Below are 24,230 nucleotides of genomic sequence, written 5' to 3' on the forward strand. Positions count from 1 at the left end.
GCCTCAGGCTCTGCTTCTGGGGGAGGGGCAAAATGAAGACAGCAGGGACTATTGCCTTATTGTTCATGGCTGTGTCTCCAAGCACCCTAAACAGTACCTGGCACACAACAGGTGCTCAATAAATAATTGCTGAATGAATGAACTAAGAGGCACGGTCCTTCCCAAAGCTTTAGAGGCAGAAGGAAGTATCACTATGGAGCCTGGGTAGGTTGGCACAGAGAGGTGGGAACGCGGTGGGGAGGGCTGGGGTGTCCCCTAGTTGCTAAGGGATCCTCATGGTCCTTCCACCCCACCCCCACCCCAGGATCCCCCATCCCTGACTGCTTGGCCGCCCACCTGCTCGGCCTTCAGGGTAAGTTCGATAAAGATTTGCTGCAGCTTCTCATTGACGAAGTTGATGCAAAACTGCTCGAAGCCATTTTTCTGCAGAAGGAGGAAAAGGGTCCTTCCCTCAATGTCCTGGTGCTGGAAGTTCTTGTGGCCACCCTGGGCTGCCCCAGGGAGGACAGGATGTGGGCTGGAGGCAGGGGGCCGTACCTGGAAGATCTCGAAGCCGTAAATGTCCAGCACACCGATGCTGTACTCTTCCTGGGGTTTCTGCATAGCACGGTTGATGGCCTGCGGTGTGGGTGGGGACAGGAAGTCAGTGGGCATCGGTCAGATCTGAAGCCCCTGCCCACCACTCCTTAGACACACGCCTAGCCAACTTCATGGGTGATGTCCCCTCATGCCAGTTTCCCTCCAGCCCTCTTTAGCTCTGCCCTTCCTGGCTCTGTGTACAGTCTCCCCACCCCATAATCAGTCACTCAGAGGAGAAACCCAAGTGTCAGTGTATCAGGGTCCCTGACTCCAGAGCTGACTCTGCCCCTGAACCTCTCTGCACCTCTATTTTCTTTTTTTTTTTTTCTTTTTTTTTTTTGAGACGGAGTCTCACTCTGTCGCCCAGGCTGGAGTGCAGTGGCATGATCTCGGCTCACTGCAAGCTCCGCCTCCAGGGTTCACACCATTCTCCTGCCTCAGCCTCCCAAGTAGCTGGAACTACAAGGGCCTGCCACCACGCCCGGCTAATTTTTTGTATTTTTAGTAGAGACGGGGTTTCACTGTGGTCTCGATCTCCTGACCTCGTGATCCGCCCGCCTCGGCCTCCCAAAGTGCCGGGATTACAGGTGTGAGCCACTGCGCCCGGCCTTGCACCTCTATTTTCTTATCTTTAAAAGGGGTTGATAATAGCAACTACCTTATGGGGCTTTTTCTTTTCTATTTTTTTTGAGATGGAGTCTCATTCTGTTGCCCAGGCTGGAATGCCAGTGGCGCAATCTCGGCTCACTGAAACCTCTGCCTCCAGGATTCAAGAGATTCTTCTGCCTCAGCCTCCCAAGTAGCTGGGATTACAGGCATGCGCCACCACGCCCGGCTAATTCTTGTATTTTTAGTAGAGACGGGGTTTTGCCATGCTGGCCAGGGCTGATCTTGAACTCCTGACCTTGGGTGATCTGCCCGCTTTGACCTCCCAAAGTGCTGGGATTACAGGCATGAGCCACTGCACCTGGCCATACATTTTATACTTTATTTATTTTTATTTTTTATTTTGAGACAGGGTCTCAGTCTGTTGTCCAGGCTGGAGTGTAGTGGCTTGATCATGGCTCACTACAGCCTCAACCTCCTGGGGTCAGGGATTCTTCCACCTCAGCCTCCTGAGTAGCCGGGATTACAGGCACCAGCCACCATGCCCGGCTAATTTTTGTATTTTTGTAGAGACAGGGTTTTGCCATGTTGCCCAGGCTGACTCCATACATTAAAAAAGTTTTTATTTTATTTATTTATTTATTTTGAGACAGAGTCTCTCTCTGTTGCCCAGGCTGGAATACAATAGCACGATCTCAGCTCACTGCAACCTCCACCTCCCAGGTTCAAGTGATTCTCCTCCCTCAGCCTCCCAAGTAGCTGGGATTAAAGGCATGTGCCACCACTCCCGGGTAATTTTTAGTAGAGAGGGGGTTTCACCATGTTGGCCAGGCTGGTCTCAAACTCCAGACCTCAAGTGATCCATCCACCTCAGCCTCCCAAAGTGCTGGGATTACAGGCATGAGCCACTGCATCTGGCCAAAAGTTTTTTTTAGAGACAGGGTCTTGCTCTGTCACCCAGGCTGGAGTACAATAGCGCAATCATAGCTCACTGCAGCCCCAACCTCCTGGGTTCAAATGATCCCCCAACCTCAGCCCTCTGAGTAGCCAGAACTACACATGCACACCACTACACCCAACTAATTTGAAATTTCTGTAGAGATGGGGGTCTTGCTATGTTGCCCAGGCTGGTCTTGAACTTCTGGCCTCAAAGAATGCTCCCAACTCAGCCACCCAAAGCATTGGGATTGCAGCCGTGAGCCACTGCACTCAGCTTCCATAAATGTTTGTGACCCCAGAGCATCCACTCTGCCTTCCAGCCCCAGCCCCACTCGCCTCCACGAGGAAGTCGAAGAGGCGGGCATAGAGCCCCTTGGCCAGGGCATCACGGGTGTAGGCTGCCTGCTCCACGTTGAGGGTCACATTGATGGACTCGCTGCGCCCGCCCCAGCGGCTGTCCATCTTGCGGCTGGTCAGCTTCTCCTGCAGTCGCCCGCTGTCAATGCCCAGCAGGTAGGCGGGAAAGGCCAGGACTACCAGGGCAAAGGTCAGGGCAAAAATGGGACAGTTGGTTGGGCTCTTGTGCCTCCTGCATGGGCCTCCTATTATCCCCATCTTGCCCAGTGACACCCACATTTTTTTCCTCGTGGGCTTTCAGCTTCCTGGGGGCTGAGCTAGGAGGACGCAGTTCACCCACCCACAGGCCTCCATCCAGCCCTCCCTGATACCCACACTCACGGTCCACACTCTCCACTCGGGCGTAATTCCCGTCTTCACAGAAACTGATGTTCCCCAGGTGCAAGATCCCCGCCACGAGCTGCAGGACCAGCTGCTGGATGCTGGGCGGGATCCCAATAACCTGCATAGCACTCTGTGGTACAACGGGGGCAGAAACTGTGCCGTGAATCCTGGCCTCCAACCTGCCTCCAGGGGCAGGCTTGAGGGACCACAGCACGGACTCAGGGAGTGAGCACCCTTGGGTCCCTGTCCTACCCCTTTCAGTCACTTGCCGCGTGACCTTGGGTAAGTGCCTGCACCTCTCTGGGCTTTGTTTTTTATTATATTTTTTATTTTTGAGACAGAGTCTCCCTCTGTTGCCCAGGCTGGAGTGCAGTGGTATGATCTTGGCTCACTGCAACCTCCTCATCCCAGGTTCAAGCGATTTTCCTGCCTCCGCCTCCCGAGTAGCTGGGATTACAGGCGTGAGCGTCGTGTCCGGACTGGGCTTTGGTTTCCTATTTTTTTTTTTTTAGAGTCTCACTCTTTCACCCAGGCGGGAGTGCAGCGGCGCTATCTTGGCTCACTGCAACCTCCACCTCCCGGGTTTAAGCGATTCTCCTGCCTCAGCCTCCCTAGTAGCTGGGACTACAGGCGCATGGCATCATACCCGGCTAATCTTTGTATTCTTAATAAAGATGGGGTTTCACTATGTTGGCCAGGCTGGTCTTGAACTCCTGACCTCAGGTGATCTACCTGCCTCGGCCTCCCAAAGTGCTGGGATTACAGGTGTGAGCCACCGTGCCTGGCCTTTTTTTTTTTTTTTTTTGAGATGTAGTCTCACTCTGTTGCCCAGGCTGGAGTGCAGTAGTGTGATCTCGGCTCACTGCAACTTCCACCTCCCGTTTTCAAGCAATTTTCCTGCCTCTGCCTCCCCAGTAGCTGGGATTACAGTCACACGCCACCACATCTGGCTAATTTTTGTATTTTAAGTAGAGACGGGGTTTAACCACGTTGGCCAGGCCGGTCTTAAACTCCTGACCTTAAGTGATCTACCTGCCTCGGCCTCCCAAAGTGCTGGGATTACAGGCTTGAGCCACATGCCTGGCCTGGGCTTCGGTTTCCTAATTTGTAACTCAGGAGGGTTTCTGGGGCTGAGGTCTGCCTGGCCGGGGACTGGAGTAGAGGCCGGTGCTCACCAGAGTCTCACCAAAGTCGCTTCTGTCGTCCGTGCCGTCCACCTGGTAGGTGTCCGATTGGTTGAGGTAGTAATAGTAGTCCGGTGTCATGAGGCCCAGGTTCTGCCTTTGCTCCTGGGAGGCCCCTTCCAGCAGCTGGAGGGTGTGCCATGTTCATGCATCTGGTGCTTGCCTGGCTCAGCCCCTGTGATCCCTCATCTGCCCTGCCATGCCCCCCTAGGTGTTTACCTTCCCATTGTCCACCCCGCTGGGCTCCAGGTGGTGCTCCCTCTCCCCCGGCCCCTTCCCTGCACCTGGTAGTAGATGTGGAAGTTCCTCTCATTTTCATTTTGCATGACCACGCGGGACTTCTCCAGCAAGAAGTTGGAGATCTTGCCCCCATCTGGCTCCCCACCTCGGCTGAACTGGATCTCAAAGTACTTGCCCTGAATCCGAGAGAACCATGTCAGCACCCCAGTGTCCTGGGGTGCAGGTGGGGGAAGGGTTGGGGATGGGTCTTATGAGCCTTGCCTCTCTTCCCTTCTTCCTTTTTTTTTTGAGACAGAATCTGACTCTGTTGCTCAGGCTGGGATTCAGTGGCGCAATGTCGGCTCACTGCAACGTCCACCTCCTGGGTTCAAGTGATTCTCCTGCCTTAGCCTCCTGAGTAGCTGGGACTACAGGCACCCGCCACCATGCCCAGCTAATTTTTGTATTTTTGGCAGAGCTAATTTTTGTATTTTTCATCATGTTGGCCAGGCTGGTCTTGAACTCCAGACCTCAAGTGATCCGCCTGTCTCAGCCTCCCAAAGTGCTGGGATTTCAGATGTGAGCCCCCACACCCAGCCCAAGGGTATGGAATTTATTAAACCATGTCCATGTGCAGGTGTAATACTGAAGTCTATGAGATGGATATTAACATCGTCACCATTTTATGGATGAGCAAACAGAGGAAACTCAGGAAGTTGCATAGATTTTTTTCCCCCCCAGGCTACACAGCTCACAGTGATAGAATCAAACCCTGAATCCATATCTGTTTACCTATCCTGACTTTCACTGGGCCCAGCGCAGCACCCACACAAAGAACGAGTCCCAGAACTATTGTCGAAAGAAGGAATGGATGAGGGAATAAATTGGACCTGAAATGTGAATGGGAACAATGTAGCATGGCTGCAGCCGGGGGAGCATTTAAGAATGTTACACAGGGGTGTCATGGCCTCCACAGTTCTGCCAATGGGGGACTCTCTTTTGAAAGGGACCATGAGCAGGAAGTGAGTCTCCCCTTCAGGAGTAGGTATTTCCTGCTGGGTTTTCAATGGACTCTTGTCTTGGCAATACGGGTGTGTGTATGTGTGGGTGTGTGTGTAGAAAGGTCAGCACGGAGGGAGCAGCTGCTCCAAGCAGGTCTGCAGAGACTTACAAAGCGGCTGGAATTGTTGTTGCGCACAGTCTTGGCGTTGCCGAAGGCCTCGAGCAGCGGGTTGGACTGCAGGATGATATCTTTGACGTGCTGGGGCAGAGGCAGGTGGAGTGGGAAGAAGTCAGACTGAGGCAGGAGTGCAGATGGGTGGGGCTGCACTACCATGCAGGTGAGGGCGACCCAGCTTATCCTTCTGTTTTCCTCGTCTCACCTGGACCTTCTCGCCTCCGCCAGACACCTTGGAGATGTAGCCCATGATATATTTGGCTGCCACTGTCTTCCCAGCTCCACTCTCTCCACTGGGGATGAATGGAGGAATAAATGATCAGTGGTTGGGGAAGAGCCCTTTTTAGTGCCTGACCATTCATTCATTGAGCACCTACTGTGTGCCTGCCAGTATTCCGGGTACTGGGGATACTGTAATGAACAAGACAGATAAAATCTCTGCTCTCAGCCGGGCATGGTGGCTCCTGCCTGTAATCCCAGCACTTTGGGAGCCTGAGGAGGGCGGATCACTTGAGGTCAAAAGTTAGAGACCAGCCTGGCCAACATGGTGAAACCCAGTCTCTACTAAAATACAAAAATTAGCCGGACATGGTGGTGGGCGCCTGTAATCCCGGCCACTCAGGAGGCTGAGGCAGGAGAATTGCTTGAACCTGGGAGGCAGAGGTTGCAGTGAGCTGAGGTTGTGCCACTGCACTCCAGCCTGGGTGACAGACTGAGACTCTGTCACACACACACACACACACACACACACTCTCTCTCTCTCTCTCTCTCTCTCTCTCGCTCTCTTTCTCTCTCTCTGCTCTCATAGAGCTGGCATCGATTGATTGACTGAGATGGGGTCTCACTCTGTTGCCCAGGCTGGAGTGCAGTGGTGTGATCATAGCACCTGTTCCTGCCTGGAACTCCTGGGCTCAAGCAATCCTCCCTCCTCAGCCTCTTGAGTAGCTGGGGACTACAGGCGTGCACCACCGTGTCCGGCTAATTATTATCTATACAGAGACAGGATGTTGCCATATTGCCCAGGCTGGTCTTGAACTCCTAGCCTCAAGAGATCCTCTCGCCTTGGCCTCCCAAAGTGCCAGGATTACAAGCATGAGCCACTACACCTGGCCTGAGGTGACATTTAGAGGGGACAGACAGACAATAGCAGAATGAATCAATAAAATACATCGTGAGTCAGATGGTGACAAGGAAAATAAAACAGAGTGAGGGCAGAGAGGGACAGCAGGGCAATGTTCAGATTGGGAGTTTCAGGCAAACCTCCCTGGGGGTGGTGATGTTTCAGCAGGGGCCCGGGCAGCAGGGTCTGTGGCCCCCCAACTCTGTCCATACCTAATGATGACACACTGGTTCTCACAGTCGATAAGCATGTTCCGGTACATGTTGTCCGTGAGGGCGTAGATGTGCGGGGGATTCTCATACTGGGCCTGGCAGGGGAGGTCAGGTCTCAGCCCAGGGCTGGGGGCCAGGAGTCTGGGGGCTGTGCCTCCCACCCAGCCCCAGCCTCACCGCGCCCTGATAGAGGTCGATCTCACGGTCGGTGAAGTAGGGCATCTGCTTGAAGGGGTTTACAGAGATGAGCACAGAGCCGATGTAGGTCTGAGGGATGGTTAAGGGTCGTGTGGTGTCCTGGTAGGTTTTGTCCTCCCTGTCCCCTCATCCTGCCCCCACCCAGGGCTTCCTAAAACTCCATTGCTTGGAGGTGGAAGAGATGGAGATAATGGATGCACCTCGAGTCTCTTGGAAAAAACAGGGCTGGCCGGGCGCGGTGGCTCATGCCTGTAATCCCAGCACTTTGGAAGGCCGAGGCAGGCGGATCACTTGAGGTCAGGAGTTTGAGACCAGCCTGGCCAACATGGTGAAACCTTGTCTCCACTAATAATACAAAAAATTACCCGGGCATGGTGGTGCATGCCTGTAATCCCGGCTACTTGGGAGGCTGAGGGAGGAGAATCGCTTGAACCTGGGAGGCAGAGGTTGCAGCGAGCTATCGTGCCATTGCACTCCAGCCTGGGCAACAAGAGCCACTCAGTCTCAAAAACAAAACACAAAACACAAAAAGCAAAAACAAAAAAATTAGCCAGGCATGGTGGCGCATGCCTATAATCCCAGCTACTTGGGAGGCTGAGGCAGGAGAATCATTTGAATCCGGGAGGTGGAGGTTGCAGTGAGCTGAGATTGTGCCACTACACTCCAGCCTGGAACCTGGGCGACAGAGCAAGACTCCGTCTCAAAAAAAAAAAAAAAAAAAAAAAAAAAAAAGAACAAACAGGGTTGGATCCGGAATGGGGGAAATGGAACACGCTGGGGCTGAGCTTCCCCAGGACAGAGGGAGCAGTGGCAGCCACAGCTGCCCCCAACCAGAGCCCTGCTGTCACTCTGTCTGTCCTCTGTGTCACCACTTGGTGCTCTCCCGGCCCATTCCTCCCTCTGCTCCTTCACCCTCCTCTCCGTCCATGGCCCAGCCATTCATTCCTTCCCTGCCTGCCCACCCCCAGCCTTGGCCCAGGGTACGAAGATGTAGTCGTCCATGAAGCGCTTCCGGAGGTTGGCGGCAATGGCGTCTTCGGTGATCTGGGGAAGAAGCACCATGTCATCCACGCCGCTCTGCTTCACGTTGTGGCTCTGCCAGTGGAAGCGCTCCTTGCTGCCCTGGGGGGTGAGAGGGGGGTCGGGGTGAGCCCTTGCACGGGGATGCGGCACCTGGCTCACCGACGCTATCAGCTTCTGGGTTCTGTCCCACCTCCCCCGCCCCACCTCCATTCCTCCTTCCCCATCTCCAGGAGAGGCTGGCAGGGTCCAAGCCAGGCCCCCTGCCCCAGACAGAAGTTGCACTGCTCGGATCCAGCCCTCAGCCCTCTATTTTTTTTTAATTTTTAATTTTTATTTATTTATTTATTTTGAGACAGAGTCTCACTCTGTCAGTCAGGCTGGGGTGCAGTGGCGTGATCTCTGCTCACTGCAACATCCACCTCCCGGGTTCAAGCGATTCTCCTGCCTCAGCCTCCCGAGTAGCTGGGATTACAGGTGCCCACCACCATGCCCGGCTAATTTTTAATATTTTTGGTAGAGATGGGGTTTCACCATGTTGGCCAGGCTGGTCTGGAACTCCTGACTTCAAGTGATCCACCCGCCTCAGGCTCCCAAAGTGCTGGGATTACAGGCGTGAGCCACCGCACCCGGCCTCTTTTTTTTTTAATTAAAAAATTTTTTAATGCCAAGTGCAGTGGCTCATGCCCGTAATCCCAGCACTTCGGGAGGTTGAGGCAGGAGGATCGCTTGAGGCCAGGAGTTCGAGACCAGCCTGGGCAACATAGCGAGGCCCCGTCTCTATAAAAAAAGAAAGAAAGAAAGAAAGAAAGAGAAAGAAAGAGAAAGAAAGAAAGAAATGAGATCTCAAGCCATGAAAAGACATGGAGGAAACTTAAAGGCATATCACTAAGTGAAAGAAGCCAATCTGGGGCCGGGCACAGTGGCTCATGCCTGTAATCCCAGCACTTTGGGAGGCCAAGACGGGTGGATCACCTGAGGACGAGAGTTCGAGACCAGTCTGATCAATATGGAGAAACCCCGTCTATACTAAAAATACAAAATTAGCCAGGTGTGCTGGCACATGCCTGTTATCCCAGCTACTCGGGAGGCTGAGGCAGGAGAATCGCTTGAACCTGGGAGACAGAGGTTGCAGTGAGCCGAGATTGTGCCATTGCACTCCAGCCTTGGCAACAAGAGTGAAACTCTGTCTCAAAAAAAAAAAAAAAAAAAAAAAGGAAGCCAATCTGAAAAGGCTATTTACTGTCTTATTCCAACTATAGGATATTCTGGAAAAGGCAAAACTATGAGGACAGTAAAAGATCAGTGGGGCCAGACGCAATGGCTCACACCTGTAATCCCAGCACTTTGGGAGGCCGAGGCGGGAGGACTGCTTAAGGCCAGCAGTTCAAGACCAGCCTGGGCAACATAGTGAGACCCCCATCTCTACAAAAAATAGAAAAATTAGACGAGTGGTGGCATGTGTCTGTGATCATAGCTACTCTGGAAGCTGAGGTGGGAGGATCACTTGAGCCCAGGATGTGGAGGTTGCAGTGAGCTGATATTTCGCCACTACACTCCATCCTGGATGACTCTGTCTCAAAAAAAACAAACAACCAAACAAACAACAAAAAAAGTTTTGAGACAGGGTCTCACTCTGTCACCCAGGCTGGAGTGCAGTGGTGTGATCACAGCTCCATGCAGCCTCAACCTCCTGGGCTCAAGCAATCCTTCCACCACACCACAGCCTCCTGGGTAGCTGGGACTACAGACGTGCACCACCATGCCTGGATAATTTTTGTATTTTTTTGTAGAGATGGGGTCTTGCTATGTTGCCCTGGCTGGTCTTGAACTCCTGGGCTGAATGGATTATCTGTCTCAGTCCCCCAAAGTGGTGGGATTATAGGCGTAAGCTACTGCACCCAGCCCCTCAGCCCTCTCCTTTGGTCTCTCTTTCCATCTGTCACTCCACCTAGTACCCCTCACTTCCCATGAAGGATGCCAGGCTTGGCGGGCAGGGCACAGAGTGCTTGGGGTTCTGCAGGCTGTAGGAGCAGAGCAGGGAGACCGGGTGACTTGGTGGGAAGTGGGCGCATCCCAGTTCTCACTTCCTGCCAGCCTCCCAGCCTCTCCCTTTCACATCCCCCGTCCCCTCCCCAGGCCCAGGCCAGTCCCTGACTTCTCTGTGGCATTTGATCCACTGCTGCCAGGCCCCTTCCTTCTCCCTCCTACCTCTCCTCTTCTCTTGTGGTCACACATACCAGCTGGTCCCTTTGAGCTCCTCCAGGCCACCATGTGCTGTGACCTCTGCCCTCTGTGCCTGTGTATGACTTTGTTCCTCAGCTCTACCCTCTACTCCCAGCCCTGCCTCCCTGCTGCCCCTGCCGTGGCCTTCTCCTCTGTGTCCCTTCACCTTGCCCCTCAGCAGTGCCAGCACCTTCTTAGGTTGCCATTTTTTTCATTTCATTTCCTCTCTCAGTTTTTCTTTTTCTTTTCTTTTTTTCTTTTGAGTCAGAGTCTTGTTCTGTCACCCAGGCTGGAGTGCAGTGGCGGGATCATAGCTCACTGTAGCCCTGACCTTCTGGGCTCAAGAGATCCTCCCACCTCAGCCTCCTGAGTAGCTGGGACCACAGGTGTGTGCCACCATGCCCAGCTAATATTTAAATTTTTTTTGTATTGATGGGGTCTTGCTCTGTTGCTCAGGCTGGTCTTTAACTTCTGGCCTCAAGTGATCCTCCCACCTCAGCCTCCCAAAGTGCTGGAATTTCAGGCATGAGACACCTTGCCTGACCCAGACGACACTTTCTTTAGGCCCCATGGAGGAGACTGAGGCACATGCTCTCCAAAATCTCCTCTTCCAGGAAGCCTGCCCTGGTTGCTCTCCTTTTAGCCCGACTGAATTTATCTAGTGCCTTAAACACCCTGGCTTTCTCAGGCTCACTCTGTCTCTATTCAACACATCTCTGCAAAGGAGTAGTCTGACAGATAGGAGTGATGGCAACTTGGAGCTACCCCATTTGGTGAACTGATGGTCAGATAAGATGTCTCTCCTCCTGGAAGCCCCCCATCCCCAGGCCAGGAGCTCCTGGAGACAGAGACTGGGGCTGAGTCTTTTCTCTGTCAAATGAACAGGGGACAAAGGTAAAGAAAGAAACCCAGATTCAGAGCAAAAACCACCAGAGCAAACAAAGCTGGGAATTGAAGTATTTTTGTATTTTTGAGATGGGGTCTCACTGCTTTGCCCAGGCTGGATGGAGTGCAGTGGTGAGACCACGGCTCACTGCTACCTCTGCCTGCGGGGCTCAAGCGAGCCTGTCACCTCGGCCTCCTGAGTAGCTGGCACTACAGGCACACACCACTAAGCCCAGCTAATTTTTTGTATTTTTGGTAGAGACGGGGTTTCACTGTGTTGCTCAGGCTGGTCTTGAACTCCTGAGTTCAAGCGACCTTCCTGCCTCGATCTTCCAAACTGCTGGGATTACAGGCATGAGCCACCGCTCCCAGCCCAGGATTGAAGTCTTTAAAGTGGACTGTGTTTGCCAGTGGATTCCAGGGATACAGGCAGGGCACAAGCAGAAGTGTCCACGTGGGCAACTGTAAGGCAGAAGTGGAGCCAGTCTCTCCTGGGGGTACTGGGGAGCCACGGAATGTTCTTGAGGGGGTGGGGGGTGGGGGGTGGGGGTGGAGGTGCATGATCAGATTCTGGACATACTGACAGTTAGAGGTTGTTGAGGGATGCCCATGGGCATTAAATAAGCCCAGCCTTTGGCATAAGGGTAGATCTGGGTTCTGATCCTGACTGGGCAAACAGATGCTGCTGTGAGTCTCCATCGTCTCATCTATAAAAAGGAAGAGGCAGCTCCACTTCCCAGGGTTGATGAGAGGATGAACTACTCTGGGGGAACAAGGTGGGATGGGAGGCTGGTGCCCCTCCCCAAGCCTGAGTGGTCGTGAGGATAGACCGAGGCTGAGGGGCATTTGAAAGAATTAACACGACCGGGCGCGGTGGCTCACACCTGCAATCCCAGCACTTTGGGAGGCCGAGGCGGGGAGATCATCTAAGGTCGGGAGTTTGAGACCAGCCTGACCAACATGGTGAAACTCCATCTCTACTAAAAATACAAAAATTAGCTGGGCGTGGTGGCGCACGCCTGTAATCCCAGCTACTCGGGAGGCTGAGGCAGGAGAATCGCTAGAACCCAGGAGGCGGAGGTTGCGGTGAGCCCAGATTGTGCCATTGCACTCCAGCCTGGGCAACAAGAGCAAAACTCCATCTCAGAAAAAAAAAAAAAAAAAAAGTAAAGAATTAACACTCAGCGAGCACCTATGCTGTGCCTGGTTTGGGGGATGTAGATGGTTGATACTGGCAGCCATCATCACACCATCTCAGTGTGGGTAGGCTCGAAGGGAAACGGAGGCTGGAGAAGTACAGCAGCTTCCTTAAGGACACGGGACTAAAGATACAGGTATTGTTTCCAAGGGTGTGGGGTTTGAACCTGGGTCTATTCAACAGCAAAGAACAGGTTCTTGGCTGGGCGCGGTGGCTCACGCCTGTAATCCCAGCACTTTGGGAGGCTGAGGCGGGCGGATCATGAGGTCAGGAGATCGAGACCATCCTGGCTAACATGGTGAAACCCCATCTCTACTAAAAATACAAAAAAAGTAGCCGGGTGTGGGGGTGCGCGCCTGTAATCCCAGCTACTCAGGAGGCTGAGGCAGGAGACTCGCTTGATCCCGGGAGGCAGAGGTTGCAGTGAGCCGAGATTGCACCATTGCACTCCAACCTGGGCAAACATAGCGAGACTTGGTCTTAAAAAAAGGAAAAAAAAAAAAGAACAGGTTCTTGCCTCTGTCTACACGCACAGGAGGCTGGGCTGGTGCTGAGAAGGATTTTTTTGTTTTGTTTTGGTTTGGTTTTTGAGACAGGGTCTCACTCTGTCTCCCAGGCTGGAGTGCAGTGGCAAGGTCATGGCTCACTGCAGCCTTGACCTCCTGGGCTCAAGTGATCCTCCTGGTCTCAGCCTCCTGTGTAGCTGAGACTACAGGCACATGCCACCACGCCTGGCTAATTTTTTTTTTTTTTGAGACAGAGTCTTGCTCTGTCGCCCAGGCTGGAGCGCAGTGGCACGATCTCGGCTCACTGCAAGCTCTGTCTCCTGTGTTCACGCCATTCTCCTGCCTCAGCCTCCCGAGTAGCTGGGACTACAGGCGCCCGCCACCACGGCGGCTAATTTTTTGTATTTTTGGTAGAGACGGGGTTTCACTGTATTAGCCAGGATGGTCTCAATCTCCTGACCTTGTGATCTGCCCGCCTCGGCCTCCCAAAGTGCTGGGATTATAGGTGTGAGCCACTGCGCCTGGCCACGCCTGGCTAATTTTTAAATATTTCATAGAGACATGGTCTTGCTCTGTTGCTCAGGCTGATGTCTATAACTCCTGGGCTCAAGTGATCCTCCCACCTTGGCCTTCCAAAATGCTGGGATTACAGGTGTGAGCCACTGTGCCTGGCCTGAGAAGGGTTTTGATAAACAGCTGGGAGAAAGGGTGCACCAGTCAGGGTTAACTGTCTGGGGAAAGGTGTGGAGGTGTGGCTGCAGCAGGGACAGAGAATGGAATGCAGGGGTAGTCAGGGCTTCAACCCCTCACACTGCTCCTGGCCTGAGTAGTCAGCATGAATTCCCTCCCTCCCTCCCTCCCTCCCTCCCTTCCCCCCTTCTTTCCTTCCTTCCTTTCTCCTCTCCCTCCCTTCCTTTCTCCTCTCCCTCCCTTCCTTCCTCCCTCTCTCCCTCTCTCTCTCTTTCTTTTTCTCTTTCTTTCGTTCTCTTTCTTCTCTCTCATTCTTCTCTCTTTCTCTCTTCTTTCTTCCTCTTTCTTTCCCTCCCTCCCCTCCTCTCCCTCCTTCCTTCCTTCCCTCCCTCCCTCTCTTCTCTTTTTTCTTTCTCTCTTTCTTTCTTCTTTCTTTCCTTCTTTCCTTCCATTTTTTCTTTCCTTCTTTCCTTTCTTCCCTTCCCTTTTCCTTCCTTCCTTCCTCCTTTTTTTCTATCTTTTTTTTTGTTTGTTTGAGATGGAGTCTCGCTCTGTTGGCCAGGCTGGAGTGTAGTGGCGCGATCTTGGCTCACTGCAAAATCTACCTCCCAGGTTCAAACGATTCTTCTGCCTCAGCCTCCCGGGCAGCTGGGACTATAGGCGCGCACCACCACACCCGGCTAATTTTTGTATTTTTAGTAGAGATAAGGTTTCACCATATTGGCCAGGCTGGTCTTGAACTCCTGACCTCGTGATCCACCCATGTCGGCCTCCCAAAGTGCTGGGATTACAGGCATGAGCCACTGCGTCTGGCCCTTCCTTCCTTTTTCTTTTTTTTTCTTTTGTTTTTTTTGAGATGGAGTCTTGCTCTGTCGCCCAGGCTGAAGGGCAGTGGCACAATCTCGGCTCACTGCAAGCCTCGCCTCCAGGGTTCACGCCGTTCTCCTGCCCGGCTAATTTTTTCTTTTTTTTTTTGTATTTTTAGTGGAGACGAGGTTTCACCGTGTTAGCCAGGATGGTCTTGATCTCCTGACCTCGTTACCCGCCCGCCTTGGCCTCACAAAGCACTGGGATTATAGGCATGAGCCACCGCACCGGCCCTTCCTTTCTTTTTCTTGTCTTTTTTGAGACAAGATCTCACTCTGTCACCTAGGCTGGAGTGCACTGGTGCGATCATACCTCACTGCGGCCTCGAACTCCTGGGCCCAAGCAATCCTCCTGCCTTGACCTCCTGAGTAGCTGGGCCTATGGGTGGAAGCCACTGGGCCCAGCTGGGAGATTTTAGTTTTGTTCAGTGTGCTAAGAGCTCAACACTTTGTTTATTTTAAAAATTTATTTACTTATTTATTTTTTTGAGGCAGGGTCTTGCTCTGTTGCCCAGGCTGGAGTGCAGTGGTGTAATCATAGCTAACTGTAGCCTTGACGTCCAGGCTCAAGTGATCCTCCCACCCCAGCCTCCTGAGTAGCTGGGACCACAGGCAAGTACCACTGTGCCCAGCTACTTAAATTTTTTTTTTACAGATGGGGTCTCCCTATGTTGCCCAGGCTGGTCTCTAACTCCTGGGCTCAAGCAATCCTCCTGCCTCAGTCTCCCAGAGTGCCAGGATTACAGGCATGAGCCATGGTGCCTGGCCAAGTTAAACATTTTGGAAACTCACTTCGTTGAAAGTCATGCCGGTGGTGGCGTTAAAAATGACCTGTAGGTGGGACTGTCATACTTGTTTACAGGTGGGAGCACCTGGTGGCTCTCCTGGGCCTTCTTGGACCGCTGACCTTAGCACCTTCTTTCCTTCTTTCCTTTTTTTGTTTTGATACCGAGTCTCACTCTGTCGCCCAGGCTGGAGTGCAGTGGTTTGATCGCAGCTCACTGTAACCTCTGCCTCCCGGGTCCAAGTGATTGTCCTGTCTCAGCCTCCCGAGTAGCTGGGACTACAGGCACCTGCCACCATGCCTGGCTAATTTTTTGTATTTTTAGTATGGATGGGGTTTCACCATGTTGGTCAGGCTGGTCTTGAACTCCTGACCTCAGGTGATCCACCCGCCTCGGCCTCCCAAAATGCTGGGATTATAGGCATGAGCCACTGTGCTTGGCCACTTTTTTTTTTTTTTTTTTTTTGAGACACAGTCTTGCTCTATCGCCCAGGCTGGAGTGCAGTGGTGAGATCTCAGCTCACTGCAACCTCTGCTTCCCGGATTCAAGCGATTCTCATGCCTCAGCCTCCTGAGTACCTGGGATTATAGGCGTGCACCACCACGCCCAGCTAACGTTTTGTAATTTTAGTAGAGACAGGATTTTTCTTTTTCTTTCTTTCTTTCTTTTTTTTTTGAGATGGAGTGTCTCTCTTGTTATCTGGGCTGGAGTGCAATGATGTGATCTCAGCTCACTGCAACCTTCGCCTCCCGGGTTCAAGCGATTTTCCTGCCTCAGCCTCCCTAGTAGCTGGGGTTACAGGAGCCCATCAACACGCCCAGCTAATTTTTTTTGTATTTTTAGTAGAGATGGGCTTTCACTATGTTGGTCAGGCTGGTCTGGAACTCCTGACCTCAGGCGATCCCCCTGCCTCAGCCTCCCAAAGTGCTGGGATTACAGGGGTGAGCCACCGCGCCTGGCTTGAGACAGGGTTTTTCTATGTTGGCCAGGCTGGTCTCAAACTCCTAGCCTCAGGTGATCCACCCGCCTTGGCTTCTCAAAGTGCTGAGATTATAGGCATGAGCCACTGCGCTTTGGCCTGACCCTAGCACTCTCATATTTGGACACACATTTTATTGTAAGGTCTTCATTACAGGCAATCACATTGATTCTTTTTGAAACTATGGGAGTTGAGTGTGTCCATTGTCTGAGGTTAATGTCGGGATTTAAAGGAGGCCTAATTAGGTGTTTTTATAAGAAGTGGGTGCTGGCCGGGCATGGCGGCTCATGCCTATAATCCCAGCACTTTGGGAGGCCAAGGTGGATGGATCACTTGAGGTCAGGAGTTCGAGACCAGCCTGGCCAACATGGTGAAACCCCGTCTCTACTAAAAATACAAAAATTAGCCAGGCGTGGTGTCAGGCGCCTGTAATCCCAGCTACTTGGGAGGCTGAGGCAGGAGAATCGCTTGAACCCAGGAGGCAGAGGTTGCAGTGAGCCAAGATCATGCCATTGCACTTCAGCCTGGGCGACAGGAGTGAAACCCTGTCTTGAAAACAACAAAAAAAGAAGGAGGTGCTGACTGGGATGCACTGAGAGTCCCTGGGGTGCGTCAGGAGATGACAGAATCCTGGGGAGCAGTGGCATGGAGGGGTTGAAGTTGACACCCACCACAGACTGGCTGAGTAGGAACTGCCAGGGAAGTCAGAGGCAAAACCCGGACCAGGCAGGGGAGGCCCAGATGGGACGAGGGTGGGTTAGGAGCCATCGACTCAACCCTGAAGAGCGTCTGAGCTCACTGGAGACTAAGAGGGGCCCCAGGGTCAGAAGCAGGATTGGGAGGCTAGGAGGTATAGACAGGAATGAGGATCTGGCTGAGAAGGGGAAGAGGGAGAGAGGCTGTGGGGGAGAAGTGGGGTCAGGGGAGCCCGTGTTTCCTGTTTTTTTTTTGTTGTTGTTTTGAGACAGAGTCTCGCTCTGTCACCCAGGCTGGAGTGCAGTGGTATGATTTCGGCTCACTGCAACCTCCGCCTCCCGGGTTCAAGTGATTCTCCTGCCTCAGCCTCCCAAGTAACTGGAATTACAGGCGCCTGCCACCAAGCCAGGCTGATTTTTGTGTTTTTAGTAGAGACAGGATTTCACCACGTTGGACACGCTCATCTCGAACTCCCAACCTCAGGTGATCCGCCCACCTCAGCCTCCCACTGTGCTGGGATTACAGGCATGAGCCACTGTGTCCGGCCAGAGACAGGGATTTCACCATGTTGGCCAGGCTGGTCTGTAACTCCTGACCTCAAGTTCAAGTGATCCACCCACCTCAGCCTCCCAAAGTGCTGGGAGTACAGGCGTGAGCCACCACGCCTGGCTCATTTCATTTTCAAGATGGGGAGACCAGATGGTTGATGAGAAGAGACAATAAAAATTGTGGGCAGGTTGGGTGCAGTAGCTCACGCCTGTAATCCCAGCACTTTGGGAGGTTGACTCGGGCAGATCAACTGAGGTTGGGAGTTTGAGACCAGCCTGACCAACGTGGGGAAACCCCGTCTCCACTAAAAGTACAACATTAGCCAGGTGTGGTGGCGAGCGCCTGTAATCCCAGCTACTCGGGAGGCTGAGGCAGGAGAATAGCTTGAACCTGGGAGGCAGAGGTTGTAGTGAGCCAAGATTGTGCCATTGCAAGCTAGCCTGGGCAACAAGTGCGAAACTCTGTCTCGAAATAATAATAATAATAAAAATTAAAAAATAAATAATTGTGGGCAAAGTGGCATCATTCATGGGCCTAGTGGGGCAGGAGCAGGGTCGTGAGTGGTGAGGGTCTGTTCTTTTTCTAAACAGGTATTTGGGGAGAGGCTGGGGACAGGCACAGCTGTGTCAGTGGGTGGGGACACGGGAAGTGCATTTTGTCTCTGAAGAGCTTAAGGGTGGAGATTGGATGGAAATAACAACAATAGAAAACAATGACAACAACAGTTAACACCTGGCCGGGTGGTGGCTCACACCTGTCATCCCAGCACTTTGGGAGGCTGAGGTGGAAGGATCACTTGAGGCCAGGTGTTTGAGACCAGCCTGGGCAACATAGTGAGACCCCCATCTCTGCAAAAAAAAATAAAAAATAAAAAATAAATAAAAATTAGCCAGGCATGGTGGTATGCGCCTGTAGTCCCAGCCACTCAGGAGGCTGAGGCAAGAGGATCACTTGAGCCCAGGAGTTCGGAGTTACAGTGAGCTGTGATTGTGGCAGCACTCCAGCCTGGATGACAGACGAAGACCCAGAAAAAAAACCCAAACACCAAACTAGCACTTATTCTGTGTACCAGGCTCCAGTCTATGTCTTTTTTTTTTTTTTTTTTTTTTTTGAGATGGAGTCTTGCTTTCTCGCCCAGGCTGGAGTGCAGTGGCATGATCTCGGCTCACTGCAAGCTCTGCCTCCCGGGTTCACGCCATTCTCCTGCCTCAGCCTCCCATGTAGCTGGGACTACAGGCTCCCACGGCCATGCCCAGCTAATTTTTTGTATTTTTAGTAGAGATGGGCTTTCACCGTGTTAGCCAGGATGGTCTCGAGCTCCTGATCTCATGATCCACCCGCCTCGGCCTCCCAAAGTGCTGGGATTACAGGCGTGAGCCACCGCGCCCGGCCTGGTCTATGCTTTTTAAAAAAAATTTTATTTTTATTTATTTAATTTAATTAATTTATTTATTTTTGAAACAGAGTGTTGCTCTTTCGCCCTGGCTGGAGTGCAGTGGCATGATCTTGGCTCACTGCAACCTCTGCCTCCCTGGCTCAAGCGATTCTCCTGCCTCAGTTTCCCAAGTAGCTGGGATTACAGGTGCATGCCACCATGCCCAGGTAATATTTGTATTTTTTGTAGAGATGGGGTTTCACCATGTTGGCCAAGCTGGTTTCGAACTCCTGACCTCAAGTGATCCACCCGCCTCAGCCTCCCAAAGTGCTGGGATTACAAGCATGAGCCACCATAACTGGCCTTTATTTATTTTAATATATATATTAAATAATATATGTTTACAAACAGAGATAGAGTCTCGCTATGTTGCCTAGGCTGGTCTTGAACTCCTGAATTTCAAGTAATCCTCTTGCTTCAGCCTATGAAAGTGCTAGGATTACAGGCGTAAGCCACCAGGCCAAGCCTGGTCTAAGCTTTTTATGTGAATTACTTCATCTTATCCTTTCAACACACGCTGGCTGAGGTTAGTCCTATCACTGGGTCCAATTTTTTTTTTTTTTTTTTTTTGAGATTGAGTCTTGCTCTGTCGCCCAGGCTGGAATGCAGTGGTACGACTTTGGCTTACTGCAACCTCCGTCTCCCAGGTTCAAGCAATTCCAATTCTCTGCCTCATCCTCTCGAGTAGCTGGGATTATAGGCACCCACCACCAAGCCTGCTAATTTTTGTATTTTTAGTAGAGATGGGGGTTTCACCATCTTGGCCAGGCTGGTCTTGAACTCCTGACCTTGTGATCCACCTGCCTCGGCCTCCCAAAGTGCTGAAATTACAGGCATGAGCCACCGTGCCCGGCCCACTGGGTCTATTTTTTTTTGAGACAAAGTCTTGCTCTGTTGCACCCAGGCTGGAGTGCAGTGGCACGATCTCAGCTCACTGCAACCTCCACCTCCTGGGTTCAAGCGATTCTCCTGCCTCAGCCTCTTGAGTAGCTGGGATTACAGGCGCCTGGCTGATTTTTGTATTTTTAGTAGAGACAAGGTTTTACCGCGTTGGGCACGCTCATCTCGAACTCCCAACCTCAGGTGATCCTCCCACCTCGGCCTCGCAAAGTGCTGGGATTATAGGCGTGAGCCACCGCACCCATCCTGGGTCCATTTTATAGAAGAGAAAACTACAGCACAGAGAGGTTAAGTGTCCTCTTCAAGGACACACAGCAGTGCAGAGAGGACCTTGGGGAGGACCCACGAAGCTGTCCTTCCCCAGGCTGGTCTGTATCAGAGATCGCCGGGGTTGCTGCTGAGGTCAGATGAGGATGGGTTGGGGAGAAGATGGGTCATGTCTACAATTTCCCCTTTGGGGGCCAGTGCAGGCTTCAGCCTGCCAGGCCACTCAGGCTGAACTAAGACCCCAGGCCACTTCCCCTCACTGGGGTCAGCTGTGTCTGGCTAGGCCCATCAGCCCTCCTGGCTCTCCCGGCTCTGACGACTTGGTTCCTCTTCCTGCCCTTCCCCTCTTTCCTCATCTGGCAGAGTGGCCCTCTTCTCTGACCATTCTCTCCCTCTCTATCCTGCCCCAGGCACTAGAGGCCCTCAGACACTCCATGCTCCAGCCACCTGTAAAATCACAGGCTGGGCCGGGCACGGTGGCTCACACCTGTGATCCCAGCACTTTGGGAGGCCGAGGTGGGTGGATCACGAGGTCAGGAGATCGAGACTATCCTGGCTAACACGGTGAAACCCCGTCTCTACTAAAACTACAAAAAATTAGCCAGGTGCGGTGGCGGGCGCCCGTAGTCCCAGCTCCTCGGGAGGCTGAGGCAGGAGAATGGCGTGAACCTGGGAGGCGGAGCTTGCAGTGAGCTGAGATGGTGCCACTGCAGTCCGGCCTGGGTGAAAGAGTGAGACTCCGTCTCAAAAAAAAAAAAAAAAAAAAAAATTAATCACAGGCTGTTTGCATCGAAGGGAGAGAGGGTTTTGCTCAAGTGAATATCGTGTGGGGAGGATAGTCGAGAATTTTGGCATGTGATGGATTGGGGTCAAAGCCTGGCTTGACAGTTGACTGACTGTGTGACTCTGGGGAGGTCACTTCTCTTCTCCAAGCCTCAGTTTCTCCTCTTTGCAAGTGGATTTGGCCGCGCATGGTGGCTCACGCCTGTAATCCCAGCACTTTTGGAGGCGAGGCAGGCAGATCACTTGAGGTCAGGAGTTCAAGACCAGCCTGGCCAACATGGTGAAACCTCATCTCTACTAAAAATACAAAAATTAGCCCGGCGTGGTGGCGGGTGTCTGTAGTCTTAGCTATCCGGGAGGCTGAGGCAGGGGAATTGCTTGAACCTAGGAGGTGGAGGTTGCAGTGAGCCAAGATTACGTCATTGCACTCCAGCCTGGGCAACAGAGCGAGACTCCATCTCAACAACAACAAATAACCAAATGGATTCCATAATGACCCTTGTGTGGGGTCTCTGAAACAAGTACAGGAGCGAACAAAGAGAAAAAATGCGCCGAGATGCCTCAGGAAATGTCATCTGTGACCTTGAGAGGATTTAAGGCATCAGTGTTGGACAGAAAGCCTGGTCAATACATACTTGTTGAATGAATGAATGAATGAATGAAGTCCTATTGGGATGAGACTGCCCCCTGCCCTGTCTCCCAGATATCTCTCTCATTCTGTGGCCTCCAAGTCTCCATGGGTCAAGTCAAAACTGTTTGTTTGTAAGTCTCTTCCTTGGGGGTGGGGATGCAACGAAGAGCTTGTGGTCACAGTTGACCACAAGCTGAATATGACTCAACCTGCTGGAGCTCTTGTGAAAGGCAGTCAGGGGCTTGAGGTGGGTGGGGTAGGAAGGACGGGTAGCTTCTTCCTTCAGCTCTTCAGAGAGGTCTCTCTACCCCAAGGCTGAAGGCAGAACTAGGGCAGGCGGGGACAACCTTCCTGGTATCACACCAGGGAGGGGCTGTTTGTGGTGAAGGTGATGGTGCCTATGGGGCTGGGGGATGTGTGCCATGGAGGGAACACACTTCCTGGGCCCCTACTGTGCATGGAGGTAGGTGGAGACCAGGCTTAGGTGGACCAGGCCCAGAACCTGCCCTTGGGGGGCTCGGTGTTCCCCAAGTGGTGTCTCAGTTGCCCAGAGGAGACCATGGCTGGAAAGTACTGTGGAGAGGTGAGAGGGCTTCCTGTAGAAGGCACGTCTTGCAACATGAACTTTCCAGGCAGCATCAGTGGTGGCTGCAAGAGACATCAGCCAGAGAGGCCTTGGGTGTGTGGTGGACACCAGGATTCTAGTCTGTTTGGAATGGAGGGTCATGGTCCTGGAGGGATAGACAGCCCAGGCCATGTGGGGTCAGCACATAGTCCTGCTGGCCTCTCATTGCTTAGGAGGACAGGAGGCTGTGGTCAAGGTGCCTGTTATTTTTTTTGGACAGAGTCTTGTTCTGTTGCCCAGGTTGGAAGGCAGTGGTTTGATATCACTGCAGCCTTGACCTCCCAGGCTCAAGCGAATCCTCCTGCCTCAGCCTCCTGAGTAGCTGGGACCACAGGTGCATACTACCACGCCTGGCTAATACATTTTTTTTTTTTTGAGATGGAGTCTTGCTCTGTTGTTCAGGCTGGAGTGCAGCGGCATGATCTAGGCTTACTGCAACCTCTGCCTCCCAGGTTCAAGTGATTCTCCTGCCTCAGCCTCCCAAGTAGCTGGGATTACAGGCGTGCACAACGCCTGGCTAATTTTTGTATTTTTAGTAGAGACCAGGTTTCATCATGTTGGCCAGGCTGGTCTCGAACTCCTGACCTCAGGCAATCCACTCATCTCGGCCTCCCAAAGTGCTGGGATTATAGGCGTGAGCCACTGCACCCAGCCACATTTTTTTTTTTATTTGAGATGGAGTCTCGCTCTTGTTGCTCAGTCTGTGAGTGCAGTGGCATGACCTTGGCTCAACCTCTGCCTCCCAGGTTCAAGCAATTCTCCTGCCTTAGCCTCCTGAGTAGCTGGGATTACAGGTGCACGCCACCACACCTGGCTAATTTTTGTGTTTTTAGTAGAGACAGGGTTTCACCACGTTGGCCAGGCTGGTCTTGAACTCCTGACCCCAAGTGATCTGCCCGCCTTGACCTCCCAAAGTGCTGGAATGACGGGCACTGGGATGAGCCACCGCACCCAACCACATTTTTTTTTTTTTAAATAGAGACAAAGTCTAACTATGTTGCTTAGGCTGGTCTCAAACTCCTGGACTGCTGATCCTCTTGCCTTGGCCTCCCAAAGCGCTGGAATTACAGGTGCAAGCCGCTGTGCCCGGCCAAGATGGCTGTTAATAGTGTGGCCTTGGGAGTCACTGAGTCAAAATCCTCTTTCATTTTAGATTGGGCAGCTCACCTAACCTCTCTGCCTCAGTTTCCTCATTCGGAAAATGGGAACATCGAGGGGTGCAAATCTCACAGGCTGCTCTGCAGATTCAACGAAGCAAAGGTTGTCCAGTGTAAATGCTAGCGTTCCTCACTGTCCCCATCAATGGTGGCCATGAGCTGGCCAGGAGGAAGGGCTGGAGGAGGGAGCTTTTGCAACTCACCCCATGGGCTCCAGGCTGTCTGCTTTTTCTGGGCGTGATGAGCAAGAGCTCTAGATTGAAGACAGCAAACAAACAGCCACTTCCTTCCTCACCCAGGTCCTGCGAGCTGTGGTTGCCGGGAGGAGAGCTAAGCCTCCGTAGCTGCTTCTGGAGCCAGCTCTCAGCTCCCAGACCCTGCCCTGGTGCCTGAGGGTGGCCCTGGAGCCTTGCCCCCAGCTCAGTGGGGCTCTGGGGCCACACCCTGCGTCCATGCACTGTGCAAACAACATTCTCACCTCCAAAGGCTCCATCCCTCAGGGGAGCAGGGGGACTGGACTCTGTTTCTTTTCTTTTCTCTCTCTCTCTCTTTTTTTTTTTTAGATGGAATCTCACTCTGTTGCCCAGGCTGGAGTGCAGTGGCATGATCTCGGCTCACTGCAACCTCCACCTCCTGGGTTCAAGCGATTCTCCTGCCTCAGCCTCCCGAGTAGCTGGGACTACAGGCGCCCGCCACCGCGCCCGGCTAATTTTTTTTTTGTATTTTTGTATTTTTATTGTTTTGAGACGGAGTCTTGCTCTCTCACCCAGGCTGGAGTGCAGTGGCGCCATCTCGGCTCACTGCAAGCTCTGCCTCCCGAGTTCACGCCATTCTTCTGCCTCAGCCTCCCAAGTAGCTGGGACTACAGGCACCCGCCACCACGCCTGGGTAATTTTTTGTATTTTTAGTAGAGACGGGGTTTCACCATGTTAGCCAGGATGGTCTCGATCTCCTGACCTCATGATCTGCCCGCCTCGGCCTCCCAAAGTGCTGGGATTATAGGTGTAAGCCACCGCGCCCAGCCCCTGTATTTTTAGAGACGGGGTTTCACTGTGTT

The 24,230-nt window shown here is 52.6% G+C and overlaps 1 protein-coding gene across 14 annotated transcripts in view, besides 4 other annotated features; it reads right to left on the reverse strand.

Annotated features, from left to right (window-relative positions):
• MYO1F (myosin IF) overlaps nucleotides 1–24,230 on the reverse strand; it is a 56,665-nt gene that overhangs the window by 26,922 nt on the left and 5,513 nt on the right. For 12 of the 14 annotated variants that reach the window (NR_199720.1, NR_199722.1, NR_199721.1 and 9 more), the window contains exons 2-12: nucleotides 7,960–8,097; nucleotides 6,955–7,044; nucleotides 6,778–6,872; nucleotides 5,651–5,738; nucleotides 5,440–5,529; nucleotides 4,334–4,465; nucleotides 4,041–4,175; nucleotides 2,863–2,995; nucleotides 2,461–2,657; nucleotides 538–618; nucleotides 337–423 (exon numbers count right to left, since the gene is read on the reverse strand). Coding sequence is in view for 10 of the 14 variants with exons in the window: in NM_012335.4 (NP_036467.2) it covers nucleotides 337–423; nucleotides 538–618; nucleotides 2,461–2,657; nucleotides 2,863–2,995; nucleotides 4,041–4,175; nucleotides 4,334–4,465; nucleotides 5,440–5,529; nucleotides 5,651–5,738; nucleotides 6,778–6,872; nucleotides 6,955–7,044; nucleotides 7,960–8,097 (1,266 nt within the window). In the remaining 4 variants the exon portion in view is untranslated. Of the gene's footprint in view, nucleotides 1–336; nucleotides 424–537; nucleotides 619–2,460; nucleotides 2,658–2,856; nucleotides 2,996–4,040; nucleotides 4,176–4,333; nucleotides 4,466–5,439; nucleotides 5,530–5,650; nucleotides 5,739–6,777; nucleotides 6,873–6,954; nucleotides 7,045–7,959; nucleotides 8,098–24,230 lie in introns of all 14 variants that reach the window. The other 2 variants (NM_001348355.2, NM_001440612.1) reach the window with 2 other exon arrangements.
• Nucleotides 5,152–5,352: a silencer, noted in NCBI's record as "peak3335 fragment used in MPRA reporter construct". NCBI's record gives its function as "represses an SCP1 promoter by STARR-seq MPRAs in K562 erythroleukemia cells {active_cell/tissue: K562}" and the evidence as "EXISTENCE:reporter gene assay evidence [ECO:0000049][PMID:32103011]".
• Nucleotides 19,192–19,392: a silencer, noted in NCBI's record as "peak3337 fragment used in MPRA reporter construct". NCBI's record gives its function as "represses an SCP1 promoter by STARR-seq MPRAs in K562 erythroleukemia cells {active_cell/tissue: K562}" and the evidence as "EXISTENCE:reporter gene assay evidence [ECO:0000049][PMID:32103011]".
• Nucleotides 21,450–21,539: an enhancer, noted in NCBI's record as "active region_13919". NCBI's record gives its function as "activates an Ori minimal core promoter by ATAC-STARR-seq in GM12878 lymphoblastoid cells {active_cell/tissue: GM12878}" and the evidence as "EXISTENCE:reporter gene assay evidence [ECO:0000049][PMID:35858748]".
• Nucleotides 23,535–23,694: an enhancer, noted in NCBI's record as "active region_13920". NCBI's record gives its function as "activates an Ori minimal core promoter by ATAC-STARR-seq in GM12878 lymphoblastoid cells {active_cell/tissue: GM12878}" and the evidence as "EXISTENCE:reporter gene assay evidence [ECO:0000049][PMID:35858748]".

This window comes from Homo sapiens, chromosome 19, assembly GCF_000001405.40.
Source record: "Homo sapiens chromosome 19, GRCh38.p14 Primary Assembly".
NCBI lineage: Eukaryota > Metazoa > Chordata > Mammalia > Primates > Hominidae > Homo > Homo sapiens.